Source organism: Homo sapiens, chromosome 19, assembly GCF_000001405.40.
Source record: "Homo sapiens chromosome 19, GRCh38.p14 Primary Assembly".
Taxonomy (NCBI): domain Eukaryota; kingdom Metazoa; phylum Chordata; class Mammalia; order Primates; family Hominidae; genus Homo; species Homo sapiens.
Window position 1 is genome coordinate 22,683,670 of NC_000019.10, and position 25,343 is coordinate 22,709,012.

General features: G+C 40.0%; 2 pseudogenes; both read left to right on the top strand.

Moving 5' to 3' along the window:
* Nucleotides 1,514-2,855, top strand: ZNF849P (zinc finger protein 849, pseudogene; annotated as a pseudogene).
* Nucleotides 15,651-16,186, top strand: RPL34P33 (ribosomal protein L34 pseudogene 33; annotated as a pseudogene).

Here is a 25,343-nt window from a genome sequence, read left to right on the forward strand (position 1 = left end):
TCGCCTAGGCTGGAGTGCAGTGGCGCGATCTTGGCTCACTGCAAGCCCCGCCTCCCAGGTTCATGCAGTTCTCCTGCCTCAGCCTCCCGAGTAGCTGGGACTACAGGCGCCTGCCACCACGCCTGGCTAATTTTTTTGTATTTTTTTTTTTTAGTAGAGACGGGTTTTCACCGTGTTGGCCAGGATGGTCTCGATCTCCTGACCTCGTGATCCACCCACCTCGGCCTCCCAAAATGCTGGGATTACAGGCGTGAGCCACCACGCCCAGCCCATTTTTGTGATTTTCTACACTGGGCCGTGTTCCTGTTTCACTCATTGAATATTATTCAATTTATTATCAGTGTTTAAAATTAATGTGTACATCTTTTTTATGGTTTCTTTCTGAAATTTATACAATATTTTTGATGAGACTATATTGCCTTGTTTTGTATACATTGTAATCTTTGATTGAGATTTGGACATTAAAAAGCTACCTGTCACAGTCTTTAAAATGTAGTTTTTTCTGACATAGTCTGAAAATAATTATCTTGGCTAGAGATTCTGAGAGTCTCTCAAACATGTTCTTAGGATGTGCCTTGTCTAAAATTTTGTATTTAGTTTTTAGTTAAAGCAGTTTATTATTCATGTTTCTTTCTTCTTCTTTTTTTTTTTTTTTTTCTGAGACACAGTTTTGCTCCTGTCACCCAGCCTGGAGGGCAGTGGCATGGTCTCAGCTCACTGCAGTCTCCACCTCCCGGGTTCAAGTGGTCCTCTTGTCTCAGCCTCCCACATAGCTGGGATTACAGGCATTTGACCCCATGCTCAGCTAATTTTGTATTTTTAGTAGAGACAGTGTTTCACCATGTTGGCCAGGCTGGTCTCGAACTCCTGACCTCAGGTGATCCACCCACCTCGGCTTCCCAAAGTGCTAGGATTACAGGTGTGAGCCACCATGCTCAGCCTGTTCATAGTTCTTCTTAATAACCAATAATCACTTGCTATAATTGTTACCTGTCTATGATATCACAGTCTTTCTGCTGCTGTAAAACTTATCTTTCATTTCAGCAGACTCAAACTGTCATTTGAAAGAATACCTCTATTTCTTTCAGAACTTTATGTAATGAGGGACAGGAACCAGTGTCTGTAAAAGCCCCTACCATTCAGAAATAAAGATGTATAAGCCAGTATTTTACTTGTCTTTTAAAAAGGAAACCAGGAATTGGCAATTTATTTCTAAAGTCACTATGTTTTATTGGGAAGCAGGAACATCTGTGTTGGGTAAATGGAACTGACTTTTCCTCTATGTGGCTGTTTGCATTGGGCTCACCTGGGGCACTGCACACTTAACTTACTTTAATTTTTCACAAATGTAATTTGGTCTGTATGTTTTTGTTACATTATATGTCTGTGAAAAAGTTAGAGCCTGTAATATTTTGCTACTTGTGATGTAGTTTGTATAATTTTATAGGTTAGATTTGTAAAGTATATTCATCTGTATCTAGTAAGTGGAGTAATTGATTATTTTTATTTCTTGCAGTTGTATGTTCTTATTTTGCCCAAGACTTTTGGCCAAAGCAGGGCATAAAAAATTGTTTCCAAAAAGTGATACTGAAAAGATATAAAAAATGTGGACATGAAAATTTACAGTTAGGAAAATACTGTAAAAGCATGGATGAGTGTAAGGTGCACGAAGAATGTTACAATGGACTTAACCAGTGTTTGAGAACTACCCAGAGCAAAATATTACAATGTGATAAATATGTGAAAGTCTTTCATAAATTTTCAAATTCAAACAGATATAAGATAAGACATACTGGAAAGAAACCTTTCAAATGTAAAGAATGTGAAAAGTCATTTTGCATGCTTTCACACTTAGCTCAACATAAAAGAATTCATACTAGAGAGAAACCCTACAAATGTAAAGAATGTGGGAAAGCCTATAATGAGGCCTCAAACCTTTCTACACATAAGAGAATTCATACTGGAAAGAAACCCTACAAATGCGAACAGTGTGGAAAAGCCTTTAACCGGCTCTCACACCTTACTACACATAAGATAATTCATACTGGAAAGAAACCCTACATATGTGAGGACTGTGGCAAAGCTTTTAACCAATCTGCAAACCTTACTACACATAAGAGAATTCATACTGGAGAGAAACCCTACAAATGTGAAGAAAGTGGCAAAGCTTTTAGCCAGTCCTCAACCCTTACTACACATAAGATAATTCATGCTGGAGAGAAACCCTACAAATATGAAGAATGTGGCAAATCTTTTAACCAATCCTCAACCCTTACTACACGTAAGATAATTCATACTGGAGAGAAATTCTGCAAATGTGAAGAATGGGGCAAGGCCTTTAGCCGGTTATCCCACCTTACTACACATAAGAGAATTCATTCTGGAGAGAAACCCTACAAATGTGAAGAATGTGGCAAAGCTTTTAAACAATCCTCAACCCTTACTACACATAAGAGGATTCATTCTGGAGAGAAATTCTACAAATGTGAAGTATGTAGCAAAGCCTTTAGCCGGTTCTCACACCTTACTACACATAAGAGAATTCATTCTGGAGAGAAGCCCTACAAATGTGAAGAATGTGGCAAAGCTTTTAACCTATCTTCACACCTTACTACACATAAGATAATTCATACTGGAGAGAAACCCTACAAATGTGAAGAATGTGGCAAAGCTTTTAACCTATCTTCACACCTTACTACACATAAGATAATTCATACTGGAGAGAAACCCTACAAATGTGAAGAATGTGGCAAAGCTTTTAACCAGTCCTCAACTCTTTCTAAACATAAGGTAATTCATACTGGAGAGAAACCCTACAAATGTGGAGAATGTGGCAAAGCCTTTAACCAGTCCTCACACCTTACTACACATAAGATAATTCATACTGGAGAGAAACCCTACAAGTGTGAAGAATGTGGCAAAGCCTTTAACAACTCCTCTATTCTTAACAGACATAAGATGATTCATACTGGAGAGAAATTCTACAAACCTGAAAGTTGTGACAATGCTTGTGACAACATCTCAAACATTTCCAAACATAAAAGAAATTGTGCTGGTGAGAAAACATAGAAATATGAATAATGTGACAAAGCCTTTAAATGGTTATCACACTTGTTTGTAAGTAGGGTAATTCATACTGGAGAAAACATCACGAGTGTGAACAGTGTGGCAAGACTTAAACAATGCTCACACCTTATTGCACAGGAAAGCCTTTATACTTGAGAACAAATGTGCAAATATAAAGAAAGTAAAAAAGTGATTAATATCTGCTCACATCTTAACATCAGAGAATTTATACTTAATAGCATTAAAAGTGCAATTACTGTCAAAAGACTCTTGAGAAAATGTAAGCCTTTAAAGTGCTGAAGAGGATTTATTTTGAAGACAAACATTACAAATATAAAGAGAGTTATAGTAACTTTACTTGTAACACAGATCTTGTTGTATTCATTTTGTATTAGAGCAAACCCTGAAGCAATTACTCAAACTTTGTTCAACATCAGTGAATTTGTATTGAAGAAAAACCCTGTAAATGTAATAAATTTAGGAAAAAAACATTTATTCAAAAACTACAGGTTAGAAAACTCCAGAGAGTTCATAGTAAAATATATTTTTGCAGATGCAGTAAATAAGAAAAAAAAATTTAATCCAAAATTGTCTATGTAAATACCAGAGAATTTACATTAGAAATATATAAGGCACTGACACTTCAGATTTTACACTAAATCAGAGTTCTGAGTTTAGAAAATAATCCAAAACTAAAGTTGGGAGAAAAATTATTTGTATATAACTTTAAAAGAGTAGAAGATTTTTTGGAGAGTTATAATTACATTACAAGTATACTTTTTTTGGAAAGCTTACAGATTTTTTAAAAAGTAATGTAATTAACTCTCAAATTACTTCATGTAAATAATGTTGTAATTAACTCAAATTACTTCATGCTAAATAAATTAATTTCTTTCTTTTTTTTTTTTCTTTTAAGACAGAGCCCCACTCTGTCACCCAGGCTGGAGTGCAGTGGCGCTTTCTCGGCTCACTGCAACCTCCGTCTTCAGCATTCAATGATTCTCCTGCCTCAGCCTCCTGAGTAGCTGGGATTACAGGCACACACCACCACGCCCAGCTAAGTTTTATATTTTTAGTAGAGCTGGGGTTTTGCCATGTTGGCCAGGCTGGTCTCAAACTCGTGACCTCAGGTGATCCGCCCAGCTTGGCCTCCCAAAGTGCTGGGATTATAGGTGTTAGCCACTGGGCCCAGCCCATGCTGTTTCTCTTTTCCTATTGTATTCATCTGTGAAAGCGTATGACCAATTGTTGCTGCATCAAAGATATGAGAGATTTTTTTTTTAGGTGAGCATTTATGACCTCTTCAATGAAAGAGTAAGGACATTAAAATGTAAGATGCATGATGAAAATCTTAAGTAAAGAGGTTCTTTGTGGTTCACTTACAGTATTGAGTGATGCATGAGGTAGGTGTTCAGAGTAATATTCTGCATTATATTGAGAGACGAATATTTTTAGTTTTAGTTAAAATTAAAATAATATATTATTTTACTAATTGTACTTTTATGAAACAAAATGCAATACATGTTAAAAATTTTATATTATGTGTGAAAATTTAATTGAACATTTTTAACGTTAAATATTGTGCATTCAATCAAGTCACATTATTCCACTTAATTTAACCTAGTCCACCTTACTCAAGGGTGTAGGTAAAAGATCGTAACAATACACTATTTGGTAAAATAATGGACTAACATCTCTAGTAATCTTTTTTGCCAGTGGCTTTAAACTGCAAATAAGTTAAGGAATATTGTTTCTGTAGGTAAAATTTTTATTTTTTTCCCATTTAAATTTACTTTTGTTAATTTTTGTGGGCACATAATATTTATGTTATATATGGCATATTCTGATAGGCATACAATATATAATTTATACTAATAATCACATTAGGATAAATGACGTATCCATCACCTCTAGAATTTATTTTTTGTATTACAAACAATTCAGTTCTACAGTTTTAGATCATTTCAAATGTATAATTAAATTGTTATTGACTACAGGTTTATTTTTATAATAATAAAAATTATATACAATTATAAACAAAATTTACACATTTTTGAGTCCTGAATAAATACTTTAAAAAATTTCTTATATATTTTTCTTTGAATATGTGGCCTCTCTGCTTGCAAACACATACAGACTTTTAGTTTTGATTTACATAGAGTTAAATGTACACATCTGTTAGTCTAAATATAAACCTTAGGTGTAAGAAAATTAATAAGGTGTCTAATTTTCTTTTTGATTCTTTTTTTTGACAGAGTTTTGCCCTGTTGCCTAGGCTGGAGTGCAGCGGTGTGATATCGGCTCGCTGCAACCTCTGCTTCGCAGGGTCAAGCAATTTTCCTGTCTCAGTCTCCTGAGTAGCTAGGACTACAGGCCCAGGCCACCACACCTGGACAATTTTTGTATTTTTAGTACAGACAGGGTTTCATCATATTGGTCAGGCTAGTCTTGAACTCCTGACCTCAGGTGATCCACCCACCTCAGCCTCCGAAAGTACTAGAATTACAGGCATGAGCCACCATGCCCGGCCAGGTGTCCAATTTTCTAGAAAACAAAAATCTTCAAAAATGTGAATGCAAATTTCTGCTCTCTGCTTTGTTCTGAATTTATTACTGTACAATCTTATGGCTTATGATTCAGAATCTTGCCATGCAAATTCTGTTTTTACTTGCCTGGTACTCATGCTAGGCCCATAACTTTCTTGTTTCTTATATAAGTTTTTTGTTTTATGGTTTATGAAGTTTTCATTATGTGAGCTGCTCTGTGATTATATGAATGATTTTAATGAAATTGAGTCATGGACCGGGCGCGGTGGCTCACGCCTATAATCCCAACGCTTTGGGAGGCCAAGGTGGGTGGATCACTTGAGGTCAGGAGTTCAAGATCAACTTGGCCAACGTGGTGAACCCTCCTCTCTACTAAAAATACAAAAATTAGCCGGGCATGGTGGCGTGCACCTGTAATCCCAGCTACTGGGAGGCTGAGGCAGGAGAATAGCTTTAACCCGGGAGACAGAGGTTGTAGTGAGCTGAGATTGCACCTCTGCACTCCAGCCTGGGCGACAGAGGAAGAATCCATCTCAAAAAAAAAAGAAATTTAGTCATGCACACAAAATAATTTTTACCTGTAATTCTAAAATTAGTTTGTTAAATTATATTTTATTTAGTTGGAACATTCCATTTTGTTCTTTTAATTGGAGAACCCTATATAAGCCTCCTTTTCTTAAGTTACTGTTTTTTTCACTTTTTATAATGGATATAAATAAATTTATTCATTGATTGGGCCAATTTGTTCAGGTAAGTACTAGGGAAGCTTCATAAGTCATGAAAATGTTTTTATACCTAAATGTAGCAAACAAACATGACGGTGCTTGCTGTATAACAGATGCTCCATAATAAGGCATAAATACTCCTGTGAAACTTGCAACTTCATGTTCAGAGGTAGAAAATATCAAAGGTAAACAATTGATTCTTCATGTGGCGAGTACTTTTTTTTCAGGCTGCAAAGCTGAATTTTGCTGAATTTAAAAAGAAGTTCTGCTTCATTTATTTTCTAATTATCTTAAGTTTTGTTTGTCTTTTTATGTGTATTCCACCCATGTATGCATCATAGCCCTTCTTCTTCTTCTGTGTTATGGCTACAGTTTTCCCACTGTTTTCTTCATGCCATGTCATTTCATACGGTGTTTTGTGGGTTTTGATGAGAACTGTGATATTTTTTAATGCACTGAAAAATTGGTTTCAACTGGAGAGTTTGCTTATCAATATAACTTTCAGATCAGTTAATTAAGATAAAAGGCATACACTGTCCACAGGAGAGAGGATTAAATCGGTTAGCATGGTGCTTCTTTCTTTGTAAAAAGAAAAAGTATTGTTTGTAAAAAGAAAATCATACTAGATTCTTACCCAAAGTGTGACAAATATAAAATTTGCTAGAAAATATATCATAGAAATTAAAATTTTAAGAGAGTTTATGGTAAGTAAACCATATTAAATTTAATTTTTTCTTTTTTTTTTTTTAAGACAGTCTCACTCTGTCACCCAGGCTAGGGTGCGGTGGCACAATCTGGGCTCACTGCAACCTACATCTTCCAGATTCAAGCGATTCTTCCGCCTCAGCCTCCCTAGTAGCTGCCCCAAGCTTAAAATAAAGCACTAAAGTACATTGGCTCCTCCCATGCACTGTGCTGGGTTTAAAACATGCTGTCAAGCCTGGGCGCGGTGGCTCACGCTTGTATTCCGAGCACTTTGGGAGGCCGAGGAGGGTGGATCACCTGAGGTCAGGAGTTCAAGACCAGCCTGGCCAAACATGGCAAAAACGCATCTCTAATGAAAATACAAAAATTAGCTGGGTGTAACAGCACACTCCTGTAATCCCAGCTACACGGGAAGCTGGGGCAGGAGAATCGCTTGCACCTGTGAGGCGGAGATTGCAGTGAGCAGAGATGGTGCCATTGTATTCCAGCCTGGGCTACAAGAGCAAAACTCTGTCTCAAAACAAACAAAAAAAACAAAACAAAAACCATGCTGTCAAGTATCAAAATTCCTGTGGTTATGACTGACACATGATAAAACAGTACAAAAACTATTTTTTATACTATTCAGCCAAGTTTATGACAAAGACACAGACATTATTTGAAATACTGTTATCTTTCTATAAGGTTTTAGAAATGTATTCTCTAACTTGAAAGAGAAAATGTGTATTTATTCTGTAAAACAGCATTTTGAAGTATATACAGGTGGTCAGATGCTTATTAGCTTTATGTAATTAATGCTTTATCTCAAATAGTTAACATTTTGATGGTGAGATTACATAACATTGTCTTAGCATTTTTTCAAACATAACAAATGCAATATTATAAACTATAGTCGCAATGCCGAACAATCTTGAACTTATTCCTCCTATCCAACTATATGTATTATTTGGCAGATATCTTTCGAATTCCCCCATTTTTAAAAATACCTTGGCATCTAGTGGTCACCGTTTTGTTCTCCACATCAATGAGATTAAGTTTTTTTGAATCCATGTGTAAGTGAAATGAGATACTAATCATTTTGTAACTGGCTTATTTCAACTAATATAATGTCCTTCAGGTTAATCCATGTGATTGAAAATAGAATTTTCTTTTAAATATAAATAGTATTCCATTGTGTATATATGCCATATTGTCTTTATTTACTTATTAGATGTTGAACTGTTGATTGCATAATTTGGCTGTTGGGAAGAGTGCTGAAAGCAACATAGAAGTGTGAATATTTCTTCATTCTGATTTTGTTTTGAATACATACCCAACAGTGCAATTGCTGTATTATATAGTAGTTTGATTTTAAGTTTTTTTGAGTAATCTCTATTTTGTTATTCATAATGGCTGTCCTCATTTACATTCAAACCAACAGTGTGTAAGCATTTTCTTTTATTGACATCTTTACCAACTAACACTTTTTTCTTTTATTTATTTATTTACTTATTTATTTATTTATTTATTTTTGAGACAGTTTCACTGTGTCACCCAGCCTGGAGTGCAGTGGTGCGATCTTGGCTCACTTACAACCTCCGCTTCCCGGGTTCAAGCAATTCTCCTGCCTCAGCCTCCCAAGTAGCTGGGATTACAGGTCCCTGCCATCATGCCCAGCTAATTTTGTATTTTTAGTAGAGATGGGGTTTTGCCATGTTGGCCAGGTTGGTCTCAAACTCCTGACCTCAGGTGATCCACCTGCCTTGGCCTCCCAAAATGCTGGGATTACAGGCATGAGCCATTGCATCCGGCCCTTTTTTTTTTTTCATTTTTAGTAAGCGTCATTCTAATGAGTGAGTTGATATCTCATAGTCTTTTCTGGCTTGCTTTCCCTAATAAGAATTGACATTCGGCTGGGCGCAGTGGCTTACACCTGTAATCTCAGCACTTTGTGAGGCCAAAGCAGGCGGATCACCTGAGGTCAGGAATTCGAGACCAGCCTGGCAACATGGTGAAACCCTGTCTCTACTAAAAATACAACAATTAGCTGGGTATGGTGACGCATGTCTGTAATCCCAGCTACTCAGTAGGCTGAGGCAGGAGAATCGCTTGAACCCATGAGGTGGAGGTTGCAGTGAGACGAGATCGTGCCACTACACTCCAGCCTGGGTGACAGAATGAGACTCCATCTCCAAAAAAAAAAAAAAAAAAAAGACATTCAGCATTTTTAAATGTATCTATTTGCCATATGTATGTATTTTCTTGAAAAATATGCTTTTTGCTTTTTTTTTTTTTTTTTTTTTTTTTTTTTTTTTTTTTAGATGGAGTCTCGCTCTGTTACCCAGGCTGGAGTGTAGTGGCGTGATCCCTCAGCCTCCCAAGTAGCTGGGACTACAGGTGCCTGCCACCACGCCTGGCTAATTTTTTGTTTTTTAGTAGAGATGAGGTTTCACCATGTTGGCCAGGCTGTTCTCGAACTCCTGACCTTGTGATCTGCCCGCCTGAGCCTCCCGAAGTGCTGGGATTACAGGCGTGAGCCACTGTGCCTGGCCAGCTCATTTTCAATAGTTATTTGTTTTATGTTGTATAGTCATTTAATTTTCTTATATATTTTTGATATTAATAATGCCTTGTCCCATTTTTTAGTTATTCTGTTGATTGTATTCTATGCAGCAGCATTTTAATTTGAAGTATTCTGACTCATTTATTTTTTTCCTTTTGTTCCCTGGGATTTTGAGTTTAAATGTTAATGGGGCCTTCTCTCTGGTTTTTTTTTTGTTCTTGTTGTTGTTTTTTGTTTGTTTGTTTTTGTAGTAGTAATGGTAGTTTCAGAGTTTCAGGCCTTACATTTAAATATCTAATTTATTTTGAGTGGATTTTTATATGTGGTGTGAGTTAGGGTCTCCTTTTATTGCTCTGCATTTGGCCATAAAGTATTCTCAACATAATTTTCTGTCTTTTTCCTACGAAATTGTCACCTTTATTTAAAATCAGTTAGCTGTAAGTACATGGCTATATTTCTGGAATCTTTTTTTTTGCTCCATTGGCCTAGTGTCTGTTTTTATTCAAGCACCATACTGTTTTTGTTACTGTACTTTTGTAGTATATTTCAAAGTCAGGTAGGGTGATAGATTCACTTTTTTCTGTTAGATTGCTTTGGCTATTGAGGGTCTTTTGTGGTACAATATACATTGTAGATGTATTTTTTAAGAATTTTTATTAAGTATGTCACTGATATTTTCATTGAGGTTGCATTATATCTTTAGGTTATTTTGTGTAATACAAATATTTAACAATATTAATAATGGCAATTCATTAATGATTAACTTTTTAATTCATGTATTAATTTCTTGAATGTTTTTAGAGTATAATGTAAAGTGCTTCAAAATTTTGATTAAATTTATTTTAAAGTATAGTTACTACAGTTACTGTAGATGGAATTGTTTTTTAAATTTATTTTGAGATAGTTCATAGAAATGCTACTGACATTTGGATATTGGTTTTGTATTCCACATGTTTAATAAATTTATTAGTTTTAATAGTTTTTGGTAAAGTCTTAGGCTTTTCTTAGGATTATGTATAGGGATAAAAGATTATTTTTTATTATTTATTATTTTTTGAGATGGAGTTTCACTCTTGTCACGTAGGCTAGAGTGCAATGGTGCGATCTCGGCTCACTGCAACCTCTGCGTGCCGCATTCAAGCAATTCTCCTGCCTCAGCCTCCTGTGTAGCTGGGATTACACGCATGCGCCACCACACCCAGCTAATTTTTGCATTTTCAGTAGAGATGGGTTTCACCATGTTGTCCAGGTTGGTCTCGAACTCCTGACCTTAGGTGATGCACCTGCCTCGGCCTCCCAAAGTGCTGGAATTACAGGTGTGAGCCACAGCACCCAGCCTGAGATAAAAGATTATCATACAATGATAATTTAACTCCTTTTTTTCCAATCTGGATGCCTTTGATTTTATTCTTTATTTTCTATGTCTTGGACATTTAGTACTATGTTTAGTAAGACTGAAGAAAGTGCACATCCTTGACTTGTTTTAGCTCTTAGAGTAAAATCTTACAGCATTTCCCTATTCAGTATGTTAATACCTGTGCATTTTTTGTTATATTTGACATTTATTATCGGAATTAACCAGACAAATCGCTCCACCAACTAAACGCCACTTGTCCCTCTAAGAAGTTGGGGGACGCCGACCGCAATCTCAACTCACTGCAACCTCCGCCTCCTGGGTTCAAGCGATTCTCCTGCCTCATCATCCCAAGTAGCTGGGACTACAGGTGCCTGCCACCTTCCCTGGCTAATTTTAGTATTTTTTAGTAGAGACGAGGTTTCGCCGTTTTGGCCAGGCTGGTCCCGAACTCCTGACCTCAGGTGATCCACCCGCCTTGGCCTCCCAAAGTGCCCAAAGTGCTGGCATTACAGGCGTGAGCCACTGCACCCAGCCTAACAATCATTTTTAATAAAAATTAACACATTGAATAATTGAATAATTTTCATTGTTGTATATGTGTGTAAATGTATAAAATGATACTTGAAAAAAATAAGCCAGAAAAAGTATGTTAATATTTGTAATAAAATGGGAAGGTAGTTAATTATTATTTGCAAATGATATCTTTTGTTTACTTAGATAAAAAAAGAAACTATAAGACTATTTTAACAGTCTATTCAGGTGGGTAGACAAAATTCTAAGATGATCGCCAGGATTCCCAATCTGTTGCACACCTGCTGTGTAATCCTCTCCTTTGGCGTGTAAAGAAAATATGACTTACTGTCGTGGAAAATCACTCATGAAATTAGGTTGCTGATGTATTGACTTTGTGTTCATCAAAAGGGAGATTATCCTGATAGGGCTAAACTTAATCAGAGGTGCTTTTAAGAGAAAGACACGGGCCGGGCGTGGTGGCTCACGCCTGTAATCCCAGCACTTTGGGAGGCCGAGACGGGTGGATCACTTGAGGTCAGGAGTTCGAGACCGCCTGATCAACGTGGTGAAACCCATCTCTACTAAAAATACAAAAATTAACCAGTTAGCCGGGCGTTGTGGCATGCGCCTGTAATCCCAGCTCCTCAGGAGGCTGAGATGGGAGAATCACTTGAACCTGGGAGGCAGAGGTTGTAGTGAGCCAAGATCACACCACTGTACTCCAGCCTGGGCGACAGAGCGAGACTCTATCCTCCCCAAAAAATAAAAAGACACATTGTAGAAAAACACCCTTGCTGGCCTGGAAGTAAGTGACTTCTAGGTGGAACAGGTTGTAAGCTGCTCTTGGTGGCCACATGGCAGGAAACACGTTTGTATATTGTCATCATTCCTGCCTTCCACATGTTGCTTCCAATAGGGAGGATCCCAGGACAGAGATAAAAAGGGGGTCTTCTTCATGCAAAAATAATCACCTCTCATCTGGGATAGCCTAAGATAAACAGAGGAGACCACAACATGAGCAAATCAATGGGAGGAAAAGGGCAACCTGGTTGAAAGGGCTCACTGGCATGATGGAGCAGCATTTACTAAGTTGTAGTGAATGATCAGCCTCTGGGATAGCAATAGTCAGCCAAGGAGGCTGAACTCATTTTTATTCTCATTAAATCAGCATATCTGCACCATTCTGGTGGCCCAGTGTTACACTACCCATTACAAAAATAACACGGAGACCAGTGGGTAACTTCCTAGAATTGAGCTTATCATGAAAAAGCATATCTCATTATTTGTTTTCACAATTGAAAAGCCTCGAAAACAATGAATTTATTAATAATGAACTTCTGCTCATTTTAGAGGATTCTACGTTGTCATGTATTAAACTTTAAACACTTTAATATTAATGTCTTGAATGCATAAACTATGCAGATAGTTTAACACGATAAAAGTAACAATTAGAAAAAAACATTTGAAATGGGATAGAATTTATCAAAATCACATCTTTTCAATGGCTTGGCATAATTGCCGTGCTTTCTGAAGTGGCTAGATTATTAACAAGTAGCAAAGACAATTTTGGTTTTGTTCAATCATTAAGTTCTTGACCATTTAAAATCTAAAATTCTGGCTAAAGGATTTAAAGGCCGTATTCTTTAGTGGCTTCTTAGGGTTTCACAGGCAATACAAAAAGAATTTTGATAGGCAGAAAAATGCATTCTACATATATACACAGTGCTCTTCTCTAGTTTGCATTAACATTAAAAGATTGAAGATTTCAAATCTAGTCTGTCAGAGTAAATTGATAAAAGTTGTATTTTTCAGCTAAGCAAATAATTGAATAAAATAGGTAACAATTTGTCATTAGCTGCCAAAAAATAGTATGACCAGATTCACTAAGTATCTAGCCACGCAAACGACAGCCCAATTAAGTCAAGATCCTAACAGGTGCGTGTGGAAAGCATTTATGGGCAATGTGGTGCCCCTCCACTCAGCACCTTCTTCTGCCCCTTTACAGAGATACAATTTCCCGAGTGACTCAGGGTGAATACTAGGAGCTGAGAATGCTGTATTCAGTTTATTACCGGGAACATAATCAACAAATTTATTTCATATTATAAAAATTTTATGAATCAGTTTGGTGTGGTGGCTCACACCTGTAATCCTAGCACTTTGGGAGTCCTAGGTGGGTGGCTCACAAGGTCAAGAGATGGAGACCATACTAGACAACAAGGTGAAACCCCGTCTCTACTAAAAATACAAAAATTAGCTGGGTATGGTGACACGTGCCCGTATTCCCAGCTACTTGGGAGACTGAGGCAAGAGAATCGGTTGAACCCGGGAGGCAGAAGTTGCAGTTAGCCGAGATCGCGCTGCTTCACTCCAGCCTGGCGACAGAGTGAGACTCCGTCCCCCCCGCCAAAAAAAAAGAAATGAATACTACTCTGCCTCACAAAGGCTTTTAGTAAAAGATTGCATATAATACTCAATTTGGATTCATAAAAATTTCAATATTCCAGGTAAATCAGCAGCACTTAAATGTCAACCAAATTTCATAAAACATATTTCAATGAGATAAGTCTTTTTAGCTAAGAATTTTATTTTATTCGTAAATTTAGAGAAAAATAGAAAACCAGTACTTTGAGCTAAATAACAGTGTTTGGCATGAGAGCACCATCCAAACAAGTGCTCTTCATGATTAACATAGCAATGGCACCATGTGCTCTCCTTGAGCAGGCCGGCCTGTTTCCACTGATATAAAGTGGAGACGGCATTGAAATAGTGAGCGAGGGTGATATAAATGGAATATTTATATTAAATACAGTTTTTAATAAAAAGCATTTGATGTTGTACAGCTACAGATGAAATTATTAGTATGAGGCCGTAATATTTTTACTTCTACTGACAGGATAACTTGATTCACAATATTCTTATTTCAAATAATATTCCTTTTTTTGCTGTATATTTGCTAGCTTTTGGTCCAAATATTACCGGAACTCAATAGAAATCAACAAAATTCATCTTTATTTTACCACAAGCATTTTGTTATTGATGCATATGCTTATTTTGCTTAAAAATCCATTAGCTTTTGATGAAAGATTTGTACTTTTCTTTCAGTGTGTTGTTTATTGCTGACAAGTGGCTGTCCTGCCAGGAAACTGCTGTTCTCAGCTCTATCCACACTGACAAATAGTGAGTGGAAGTGAAGTGTAAGTAAGAACCAAATGTGTCTTCTCTTCATCAGTTTTTTCATCCATTGGCTGAAAAAAGAGAAAGATGCAGAAAGATGAAAGAAGATATGATCCCTGAAAGATCACATAGAAGTCCTCTTAATGAGAAAAAAATGGTTGTGTGACCATAAAATACATTATTTTGCTAAGCCTCTGAAATTTTAATATACAACTTGCATTGCTTTCAGTCCTTCAGTTTTGATGCTTCAGGATATGACACAATTCCCTGGTGAATCAAAACTGAAAAGAATAATTTATTAAGGTAAGAGATACAGGAAAGACCTCTTACATTTGACCAATATCTCCACCCCCAGCCTTTTTTTTTTTTTTTTTTTTTTTTTTTTTTTTTGTTGAGAAAAACTTTCGTTCTTGTCACCCAGGCTGGCGTACAATGGGGCGATCTCAGCCCACGGCAACTTCTGCCTCCTGGGTTCAAGCGATTCCCCTGCCTCAGCCTCCCGAGTAGCTGAAATTACAGTCACGTGCCACCACACCCGGCTAATTTTGTATTTTTAGTAGAGACTGGGTTTCTCCATGTTGGTCAGGCTGGTCTTGAACTCCCAGCCTCAGGTGATCCACCCACTTAGCCTCCCAAAGTGCTGGGATTACAGGCTTGAGCCACTGTGCCTTTTTTTTTTTTTTTTTTTTTTTTTTTGAGACGGAGTCTCACTCTTGTCCAGGCTGGAGTGCAGTAGTGCAATCTTGGCTCACTGCAACCTCTACCTCCCAGGTTCAAGTGATTCTCCTGCCTCAGTCTCCCAAGTAGCTGGGTTTACAGGTGCCCACCACCCCGCCCAGCTAATTTTTGTATTTTTAGTAGAGACGGGGTTTCACCATGTTGCCCAGGCTGTTCTCAAACTCCTGATCTCAGGTGATCCACCTGCCTCAGCCTCCCAAAGTGCTGGGATTACAGGTGAGTCACCACACCCGGCCGAGTTAGAATTTTTTTCTACTCTACCTAGACATGAGATCATGTGGCTCTTCCGAGACATTGTCTGCAGGCACTCAGAATGGTCCAGCGTTTGACATACCAATGTAGGCATTCCTACAGTACAGCCTCTAACAAAAGTAGGCTGTTCCGAACCCCTGGTAATAGAATACCTTTATACCAAGAAGGTTGGAAAAGCATCAAAATCTGCTTGTGGCATGTGCCCAGGCAGACTTCGAGGGGTTCGTGCTGTAAGACTTAAAGTTCTTATGAAATTGTCCAAAACAAACAAACATGTCAGCAGGGCCTATGGTGGTTCCATGTGTGCTAAATGTGTTCGTGGCAGGATCAAGCGTGCTTTCCTTATTGAGGAGCAGAAAATCGTTGTGAAAGTGTTGAAGGCACAAGCAGAGTCTTCTCACTCATTTTATTTAGCTTTGCAGCTAAATAAAAAGTGAAACTTTTTTGAGAAAGAAAAAAAAATGAGATCATGTGGTATGTTTTTGTTTTCTTTTTTCTTTGTGCTGGCTCTTTTTTTTAGTATTTATTGATCATTCTTGGGTGTTTCTCACAGAGGGGGATTTGGCAGGGTCATAGGACAATAGTGGAGGGAAGATCAGCAGATAAACAAGTGAACAAGGGTCTCTGGTTTTCCTAGGCAGAGGGCCCTGCCACCTTCCGCAGTGTTTGTGTCCCTGGGTACTTGAGATTAGGGAGTGGTGATGACTCTTAACGAGCATGCTGCCTTCAAGCATCTGTTTAACAAAGCACATTGTGCACCGCCCTTAATCCATTTAACCCTGAGTGGACACAGCACATGTTTCAGAGAGCACGGGGTTGGGGGTAAGGTTATAGATTAACAGCATCCCAAGGCAGAATAACTTCTCTTAGTACAGAACAAAATGGAGTCTCCTATGTCTACTTCTTTCTACACAGACACAGCAACAATCTGATTTCTCTATCTTTTCCCCACCTTTCCCCCTTTTCTATTCGACAAAACCGCCATCGTCATCATGGCCCGTTCTCAATGAGCTGTTGGGTACACCTCCCAGACGGGGTGGCAGCCAGGCAGAGGGGCTCCTCACTTCCCAGCAGGGGTGGCCAGGCAGAGGCGCCCCCACCTCCCGGATGGGGCAGCTGGCCGGGCGGAGGCGCCCCCCACCTCCCTCCTGGATGGGGCGGCTGGCCGGGTGGGGACTGGCCCCCACCTCCCTCCCGGACGGGGCAGCTGGCCAGGCGGGGGCTGCCCCCCACCTCCCGGACGGGGCGGCTGCCGGGCGGAGACGCTCCTCACTTCCCAGACGGGGTGGCTGCTGGGCGGAGGGGCTCCTCACTTCTCAGATGGGGCGGCCGGGCAGAGATGCTCCTCGCCTCCCAGACGGGGTCGCGGCTGGGCCGAGGCACTCCATACATCCCAGATGGGGCGGCGGGGCAGAGGCGCTCCCCACATCTCAGACGATGAGCGGCCGGGCAGGGACGCTCCTAACTTCCTAGATGGGATGGTGGCTGGGAAGAGGCGCTCCTCACTTCCCAGACTGGGCAGCCAGGCAGAGGGGCTCCTCACATCCCAGACGATGGGCGGCCAGGTAGAGACGCTCCTCACTTCCCAGACGGCGTGGCGGCCGGGCAGAGGCTGCAATCTCAGCACTTTGGGAGTCCAAGGCGGGCGGCTGGAAGGTGGAGGTTGTAGCGAGCCGAGATCATGCCACTGCACTCCAGCCTGGGCAACACTGAGCACTGAGTGAGCGAGACTCCGTCTGCAATCCCCGCACCTCGGGAGGCCGAAGCTGGCAGATTACTCGCGGTTAGGTGCTGGAGACCAGCCCGGCCAACACAGTGAACCCCCGTCTCCACCAAAAAAATACGAAAACCAGTCAGGCGTGGCGGCGTGCGCCTGCAATCCCAGGCAGTCTGCAGGCTGAGGCAGGAGAATCAGGCAGGGAGGTTGCAGTGAGCCGAGATGGCGGCAGTACAGTCCAGCTTCCACTCGGCATCAGAGGAAGACCGTGGAGAGGGAGGAAGAGGGAGACCGTGGGGAGACGGAGATGAGGGAGAGGGAGATGGAGAGCTGTGTTGGCTCTTTTTACTTAGGCTAATGTCCTACAGGTTCATCAGTATCGTTGCAGATAACAAGATTTCTTTATTTTTAAGGGCTGAATAGCATTCCATTGTGTAAATACACGAAATTTTCTTCATCCATTCACCTGTTGACACTTAGGTTAACACTTAGGTTGATTCTCTATCTTAGCTATTGTGAGTAACCTACTTCCTTCTCCTTCATTTGTTTTCATATCTTTTTTTTTTTCTTTCTAAAAGTATTTTAATTTAAAATACAAATTTTGACTGTTAAATGCCTTCATTTTTCTGCCTTCTTTTGGATAATATTTTGGCTAATTTTAAAAATAAATTTTTTAAAAAGCTCTTGGGGGCCAGGCACCGTGGCTCACGCCTGTAATCCCAGCACTTTGGGAGGCCGAGGCAGGCAGATCACGAGGTCAGGAGGTAGAGACCATCCTGGCTAACATGGTGCAACCATGTCTCTACTAAAAATACAAAAAATTAGCCAAGCGTGGTAGCACGCGCCTGTAAGTCCCAGTTACTAGGGAGGCTGAGGCAGGAGAATCGCTTGAACCCGGGAGGCGGAGGTTGCAGTGAGCTGAGATTGCACCACTGCACTCCAGCCTGGGTGACAGAGTGAGACTCCATCTCAAAAAAAAAAAAAAGAAAAAAGAAAAAAATTCTTGGATCAAGGTTATTACTTCATTATTAACATAATTTGAGACAAAATAGCGATAAAAATAAACATTGATTAGTGAAACAACAATTGTCTAGCCCCTGGTAATCATTTCCTCTCTCACCCAACATGAAAGCTGTATCTTTGTGTCATCTCTCCCAGTTGTGAGAAAGACGTTTCTGATTAAATTGTTTGGCATAAAATTTTGTAAAATTTTACTCTTTTGGTGTGAAAATCAAACTGCTCTATTACTAGAAAAGTTTACCTTTTGATAAGTATAATTTTACTCTATTCTATTTAAATTCTTCAGAAAATCCTGACATAGAATGCACTTAAATTTTTTTGAAAATTAAAAGTGCTTAAACATTTTTTATACAAACTAAAAATAATTTTAGATTCTTAGAAAACATCTTTCAAATACTTTAAGTTACCTTCCTCTGACAGTACTTTTTTTATATTGCTATAACACAGCTTTTCTGTCCTTTGTGGCCAACTCTGTCACTTCTATCCTATTTAGTTGTGCAGTATTTATGTTTTGCATTTTACATTTTTTTAAGGTTATAGATTAACAGCATCCCAAGGCAGAAGAATTTTTCTTAGTACAGAACAAAATGGAATCTCCCATGTCTACTTCTTTCTACACAGACACAGTAACAATCTGATCTCTCTTTCTTTTCCCCACATTTCCCCCTTTTCTATTTGACAAAACCACCATCGTCATCATGGCCCATTCCCAATGAGCTGTCGGGTACACCTCCCAGACGGGGTGGCGGCCGGGCAGAGGGGCTCCTCACTTCCCAGATGAGGTGGCTGGGCAGAGGCGCCCCCCACCTCCCAGACGGGGCAGCTGGCCGGGTGGAGGCACCCCCCACCTCCCTCCGGGACGGGGTGGCTGGCTGGGCGGGGGCTGCCCCCCACCTCCCTCCCGGACGGGGCGGCTGGCCGGGCGGGGGCTGCCCCCACCTCCTGGATGGGGCGGCTGGCCGGACGGGGGCTGCCCCCCACCTCCCGGACAGGGCAGCTGCCGGGCGGAGGGGCTCCTCACTTTCCAGACAGGGCGGCTGCTGGGCGGAGGGGCTCCTCACTTTCCAGACAGGGCGGCTGCTGGGCGGAGGGGCTCCTTACTTCCCAGATCGGGCGGCTGCCAGGCGGAGGGGCTCCTCACTTCTCAGACGGGGCGGCCGGGCAGAGACGCTCCTCACCTCCCAGACTGGGTGGCGGTCAGGCAGAGACATTCCTCAGTTCCCAGACGGGGTCGCGGCCGGGCAGAGGCGCTCCTCACATCCCAGACGAGGCGACGGGTCAGAGGCGCTCCCCACATCTCAGATGATGGGCGGCCGGGCAGAGAGGCTCCTCACTTCCCAGATGGGATGGCGGCCAGGAAGAGGCGCTCCTCACTTCCCAGACTGGGCAGCCGGGCAGAGACGCTCCTCACTTCCCAGACGGGGTGGCGGCCGGGCAGAGGCTACAATCTCAGCACTTTGGGAGGCCAAGGCAGGCGGCTGGGAGGTGGAGGTTGTAGCCAGCTGAGATCACGCCACTGCACTCCAGCCTGGGCACCATTGAGCACTGAGTGAGCAAGACTCCGTCTGCAATCCCGGCACCTCAGGAGGCCGAGGCAGGCGGATCACTCGCGGTCAGGAGCTGGAGACCAGCCCGGCCAACACGGCAAAACCCAGTCTCCACCAAAAAATGCAAAAACCAGTCAGGCGTGGCGGCGCGCGCCTGCAATCCCAGGCAGTCTGCAGGCTGAGGCAGGAGAAATCAGGCAGGGAGGTTGCAGTGAGCGGAGATGGCGGCAGCACAGTCCAGCCTCGGCTTTCACAACTTTGGTGGCATCAGAGGGAGACCGTGGAGAGGGAGAGGGAGAGGACATTTTACATTTTAAAAGTTGTAATTCATGCAATGTAATTTTCAAACAGTTGACCAACCTTTTTTCATGTGAAACTCTGCTTAATCAGCAGTCACTTTATTTTTACTCTTCAAGGGCATTTTCATTCCCTGAAAAGCAGAGCGAAAGTTCAAGTGAGTGTGCTGAGCTGGTCCTCGCCAGTGTCAGTTTATTCACATTCACACAGGTGACCTTCTGGGGAAAGAGGGTTCATTTCAACAGCCTTATTACAGGAATGTGGAACAGATTTAATAGAGTAAAATGTAAATCACTGACTTTCAAGAAAAAAAGAAATTTTTTTTTATTCTTTGTATGTGAGTATGTGGTGGTTGTAAAGTTTACAATAAAGACTAAAGTTAGAGAGCACACTTTACATGAGGGGTACAGTGCAGGTCCTATGCAACCTTCTTTTTGCCAAACATGCCCTTAATGCTTTTTTCAAGTAGTATGTTGCTGTATCCATCACTTATCAGGCTCTGATGATCATTTTCTAATTTATCAATTTAAATATGCAGTCAATATCATCCAGAGTTCTGTCCTTGACGTTTAACTGCTCAGACATAAAACTATTTAAATATTCTTGATAAAAGATGAGGTTTTATTTATTTTACTACAGAGCATTTCATGCCAGTAAGCTTAAGTTTCATGAAACTTGAAAACATGCTTTAGTTTTACCTTCGTTTGGAAAGCCAAATTTGGCCAAAAATGAATACAACAATAAACTTGAATATAAATCATTTTGAAATTGAATTCAAATTATTAAAATATTAAAATTGATAAATGTATTTGACTATGTGTCAAATTATTAAAAATTTTTGAATAAAAAGTGTAATAAAGTTGGAACTTGAGAAATATGCATGCTTTTATGATAAATCATTTTGTGATTAAAGTTTCAATTTAGCAGTTTTGACTGTTGAAAATGTGAATACTGACATATCAGAGAAGAAAATATTGATAACAAAGAATACAAAACAAAGCACAATAGTGTTGATAGCTGTGGTGAGTCCTCAGCTCTTGTCTTAGTTTCAAAAAATTTAAACAAGACAAACCACAAAGAAGATGCAGCATAATTTATTGCAAAGGAGAAAGACTATTTTAAAAGTTAGATGCAGAATACCCAGTACACGCTGAGCGAGAAGGGATTCAGGGCGGGCAGCTTACAGGAATGAGACGAAAAGACTAGAACTAGGAACACTCCATTTATGGGAATCTTACATAATTATTCATAAGGAGGTGGAAAGAGGTGTTAACTGGTAAGCATGTTCTGGGTGGTCCTCTTGGTGCACATACACAGTGGCTGTACATGCTTGTTTATATGTCACGTGTTATTAGCATCTTAAATCTCAACCACGGTGTGTTTTTTACTATTTATAATAGTAATAATGAGTAAAAGGTCACTTTAAGGACAGGTAAAATCAAAATGTGCATGCTCTCTACAAGGGTATTTCCCTACATGAGAGAGCTTTGCTTGAATGAGTTGAAATACGATGCAAATGCTGGGGCTTACTGGGTTGACAATATGCAGTTGCCATGCATTCACCGTGGTTGCTGCATCCCGAGGACATTATCAGTATGCCAACGTGGTATACTGTAGTAGTCACTTTCTTGAATACCCATCCTGCCTCAATAGTACTTGTACTGATTTATTCCCAACGACTGACTCCGAGACTTAAGATTTAGCTATTATATCAACATTGTCAACAGTAGGAAAATCAAAATTTTAAAATCAAATGTATTTGAGTTTGATTTGGGTAATTAGCTGAGTGCCCAGGAAAAATTATTTTACATTTCTGAAGCTTCAATCTTCATTATTAATAAAAAATATTATCTCCCTCAGGGCTGTTTTAACACATGGTAGCTATAAGTATTTTTAACTGAAAGTCTTGTGTAAATATTATAGTAAATATTTAAGAATAAATATTCATATTTCAAAGATTATGTGAGTTGGTATATTTTGTCATGTTTAATGTATTTATCCTTTCCAGAAAATGCCACAGTAAGAATTTTTTATTTTCTCTGGAATAAAAGACTAAGGTTTTCTACATTGTGACTGTGCTGATATTTGCATAGGGTTTTGACTGTTACTGTTGAATTTAGGTTGAATTTCAAATCCACTGTTGTTTAGCTTGTGTGGTTTCTGGTTCATTTGGAGAACCAAATATATTAGACGTGAACTGTTTGGAGTAACTTGGCATCATTTCAGCTGTCCTTCTGTTATTACATCTGGGGCTTTAGAAATGACTAGGATTCAAATAAGGTTGGTTTGGAATCAAGCAATAGAAAATCCCCCCAAATACTCAGGGAAATAGCTACTGAATAATGCCTTTCAGTGAGATTTATACATGAAACAGAGTTCAATGAAATTCAAAAATTATTGCAAGTTTTCTAAATTTAGAAACTGACTGCAAACAACATATTAGGCACTTGTAGCTTGTCTATAGCATCTGTAGCCTGGGGAAGCTGACATTACAGAAAAGCATATTGCTACTGTAATAAGATTTGGAACAAAAACTTACGTGCATGTAAACATTCCCCCTTAGTAATCCTTAAATACTTGTCATTCTGGCTCAATCTTTTTGGTGCAACTGTTTATGATTTCAGAGATTCTATCTCACCAATTTCAAGCTATGGTGTTTTCAGCTCTTAATGTTTACTTGTACCCAGTAAGCTTCATGGTTACATCATTATATTGGGGTCCCCCAGGCAATCCCTGAGGCTTAGAGCTGACCATCCTACCTCATCTTTTTTGCTTCACATGCTGTTATTGAGTCCCTTTCACTCCATATTTGAGCCTTAATGAGCCTTCCATTTAAGGAAACCAGAAGAATGGGTTGCCCATATATGTTGAGTTGAGAATCAGGATTCTCTTGAGTATAAAGACTTTACGGCCGGGCACGGTGGCTCACACCTGTAATCCCAGCACTTTGGGAGACCGAGGCGGGTGGATCAGGAGGTCAGGAGTTTGACACCAGCCTGACCAATATGGTGAAACCCTGTCTCTACTAAAAATACTAAAATTAGCCAGGTGTGGTGGTGCGCGCCTGTAGTTCCAGCTGCTTGGGAGACTGAGGCAGGGGAATCGCTTGAACCTGGGAGGCGGAGATTTCAGTGAGCCAAGATTGCCACCACTGCACTCCAGCCTGGGCAACGGAGCAAGATTCCGTCAATAAGTAAATAAAATAAATAGACTTTACATTTATTCATAGTACAAAGCAGTATTTTTTTTTTTTTAATATGGAGTCTCACTCTGTCGCACAGGCTGGAGTGCAGTGTCATGATCTTGGCTCACTGCAACCTCCGCCTCCTGGGTTCAAGCGATTCTCCTGACTCAGCCTCCCGAGTAGCGTGGACTACAGGCGCATGCCACCACGCCTGACTAATTTTTGCATTTTTATTAGAGACGGGTTTCACTATGTTGGCCAGGCTGGTCTTGAACTCCTGACCTCGTGATCTGCCGGCCTCAGCCTCCCAAAGTGCTGGGATTACAGGCGTGAGCCACCACACCCGGCCACAAAGCAGTGTTTTTAAGATGTGAACATGTTTTACTCAAATTAAATATAAATGATTTTATCAGTATTCCAATGTGGTGAAAATAACTGCATGAAGTTCACCAAATGTTCTGCTTCAGACTTTTTCGAAACAAAGATCAATATGTATGCACTAGTGGATATTAGTTATTTGGTGTTGGTTTTCATTTTTAAAGATTTTTTCCCTACTTTATGCTGATGTTAAGCTACACAAAGCATACCAAAAGCTATAATTTACCACACTTTTTACCAAAATTTCAAATACTTAAATATTGAAAGTGATATTCTTGATTACCATTTTTTATGTGATGTAGTCTGCATTTATTAGTACTACATTGCATTTTTTTATGTGGTGCCAGGTTATAAAAATGCCTTCCAGCTGATTTCTTAGGTAACAGTAGAATCTGTTTTCTTAGACAGTAACATGAGAATTCTTTGTATACTACCTTTGGAGGTACTAAAAGCAGCTGGTTAAAGGTACTGAAATCTGTCCTTATTAATGGAAATTTAATTCAAAGACTATGCAAAGAAAAGTCATTCAGGCACCCTGAAACTAAATTGGAATCTGGTTCCTGACACTGATTAACAGATTGAGCAGATTAGAGTGGACCTACGTCCCTTTAAACAATATTGAAACACATTTTTTTTTGAGACAGCGTCTCGCTCTGTCACCCAGGCTGGAGTGCAGTGGTGCAGTCTCAGCTCACTGCAACCTCCACCTCCTGAGTTCAAGCAATTCTCATTCCTCAGACTCCTGAGTAGCTGGGATTATAGGTGCCTGCCACCATGGCCAGCTAATTTTTGTATTTTTAGTAGAGACAGGGTTTCACCATGTTGGCCAGGCTGGTCTCTAACTCCTGACCTCAAGTGATCTGCCTGCCTCGGCCTCCCAAAGTGCTGGGATCACAGGCGTGAGCCACCGCGCCCAGCCAGATTTGATTTTTTAAATGTTTGTGAATGTGTATCACTGTAGTGAAAAATCAAATTATTTAAATCTACTTTCTAAATAATTTTGATTAAAGTATTCTGTATTTTGAGTGCCAGTATTCATATAGTATGCCAAATCACCCATTTGTTTACTATTTTGCCATTTTATAAAATAAGCCTGAATTTGTGGAGACATTTTTAAAGAAACCGATCTTTTCTACAAAAAGATTTAGACATCGAAAATAGAGAATTTAGTTTCACATTATATATATAGTTTGCTGAACCCTACAGTAATTTGTAAAGTTTGTTTGTGTATGCCAATCTTAGATTTTCTAAAACAAAATGAAGGGTTTTTGTTTTATGTTACATTTAATATACAAAGTCCAAAATATGCTCAGACAGACAACTTCATCAGACTCCTTCATCAACTCCGTTTCCATCGTGGCGTGAACGGTTTCTCACTGCTTTAGCATCTGCCTTTGATTTCTACTAATTTTCTTTGACTTTGATTTTTCTTGTCCATCTCTGGTGGTTGCTTTGCTGCTCCACTTTGAGGAGTTCGGGCAGCTTCACCCTCAGCCGCTCCAACAGTCCGTCCATTTGGCTCAAGCTCTAGGCAGTTTCTCCTGGTTCTTCTGTTCCTGGCGTCTGAGATTTGTCAGCA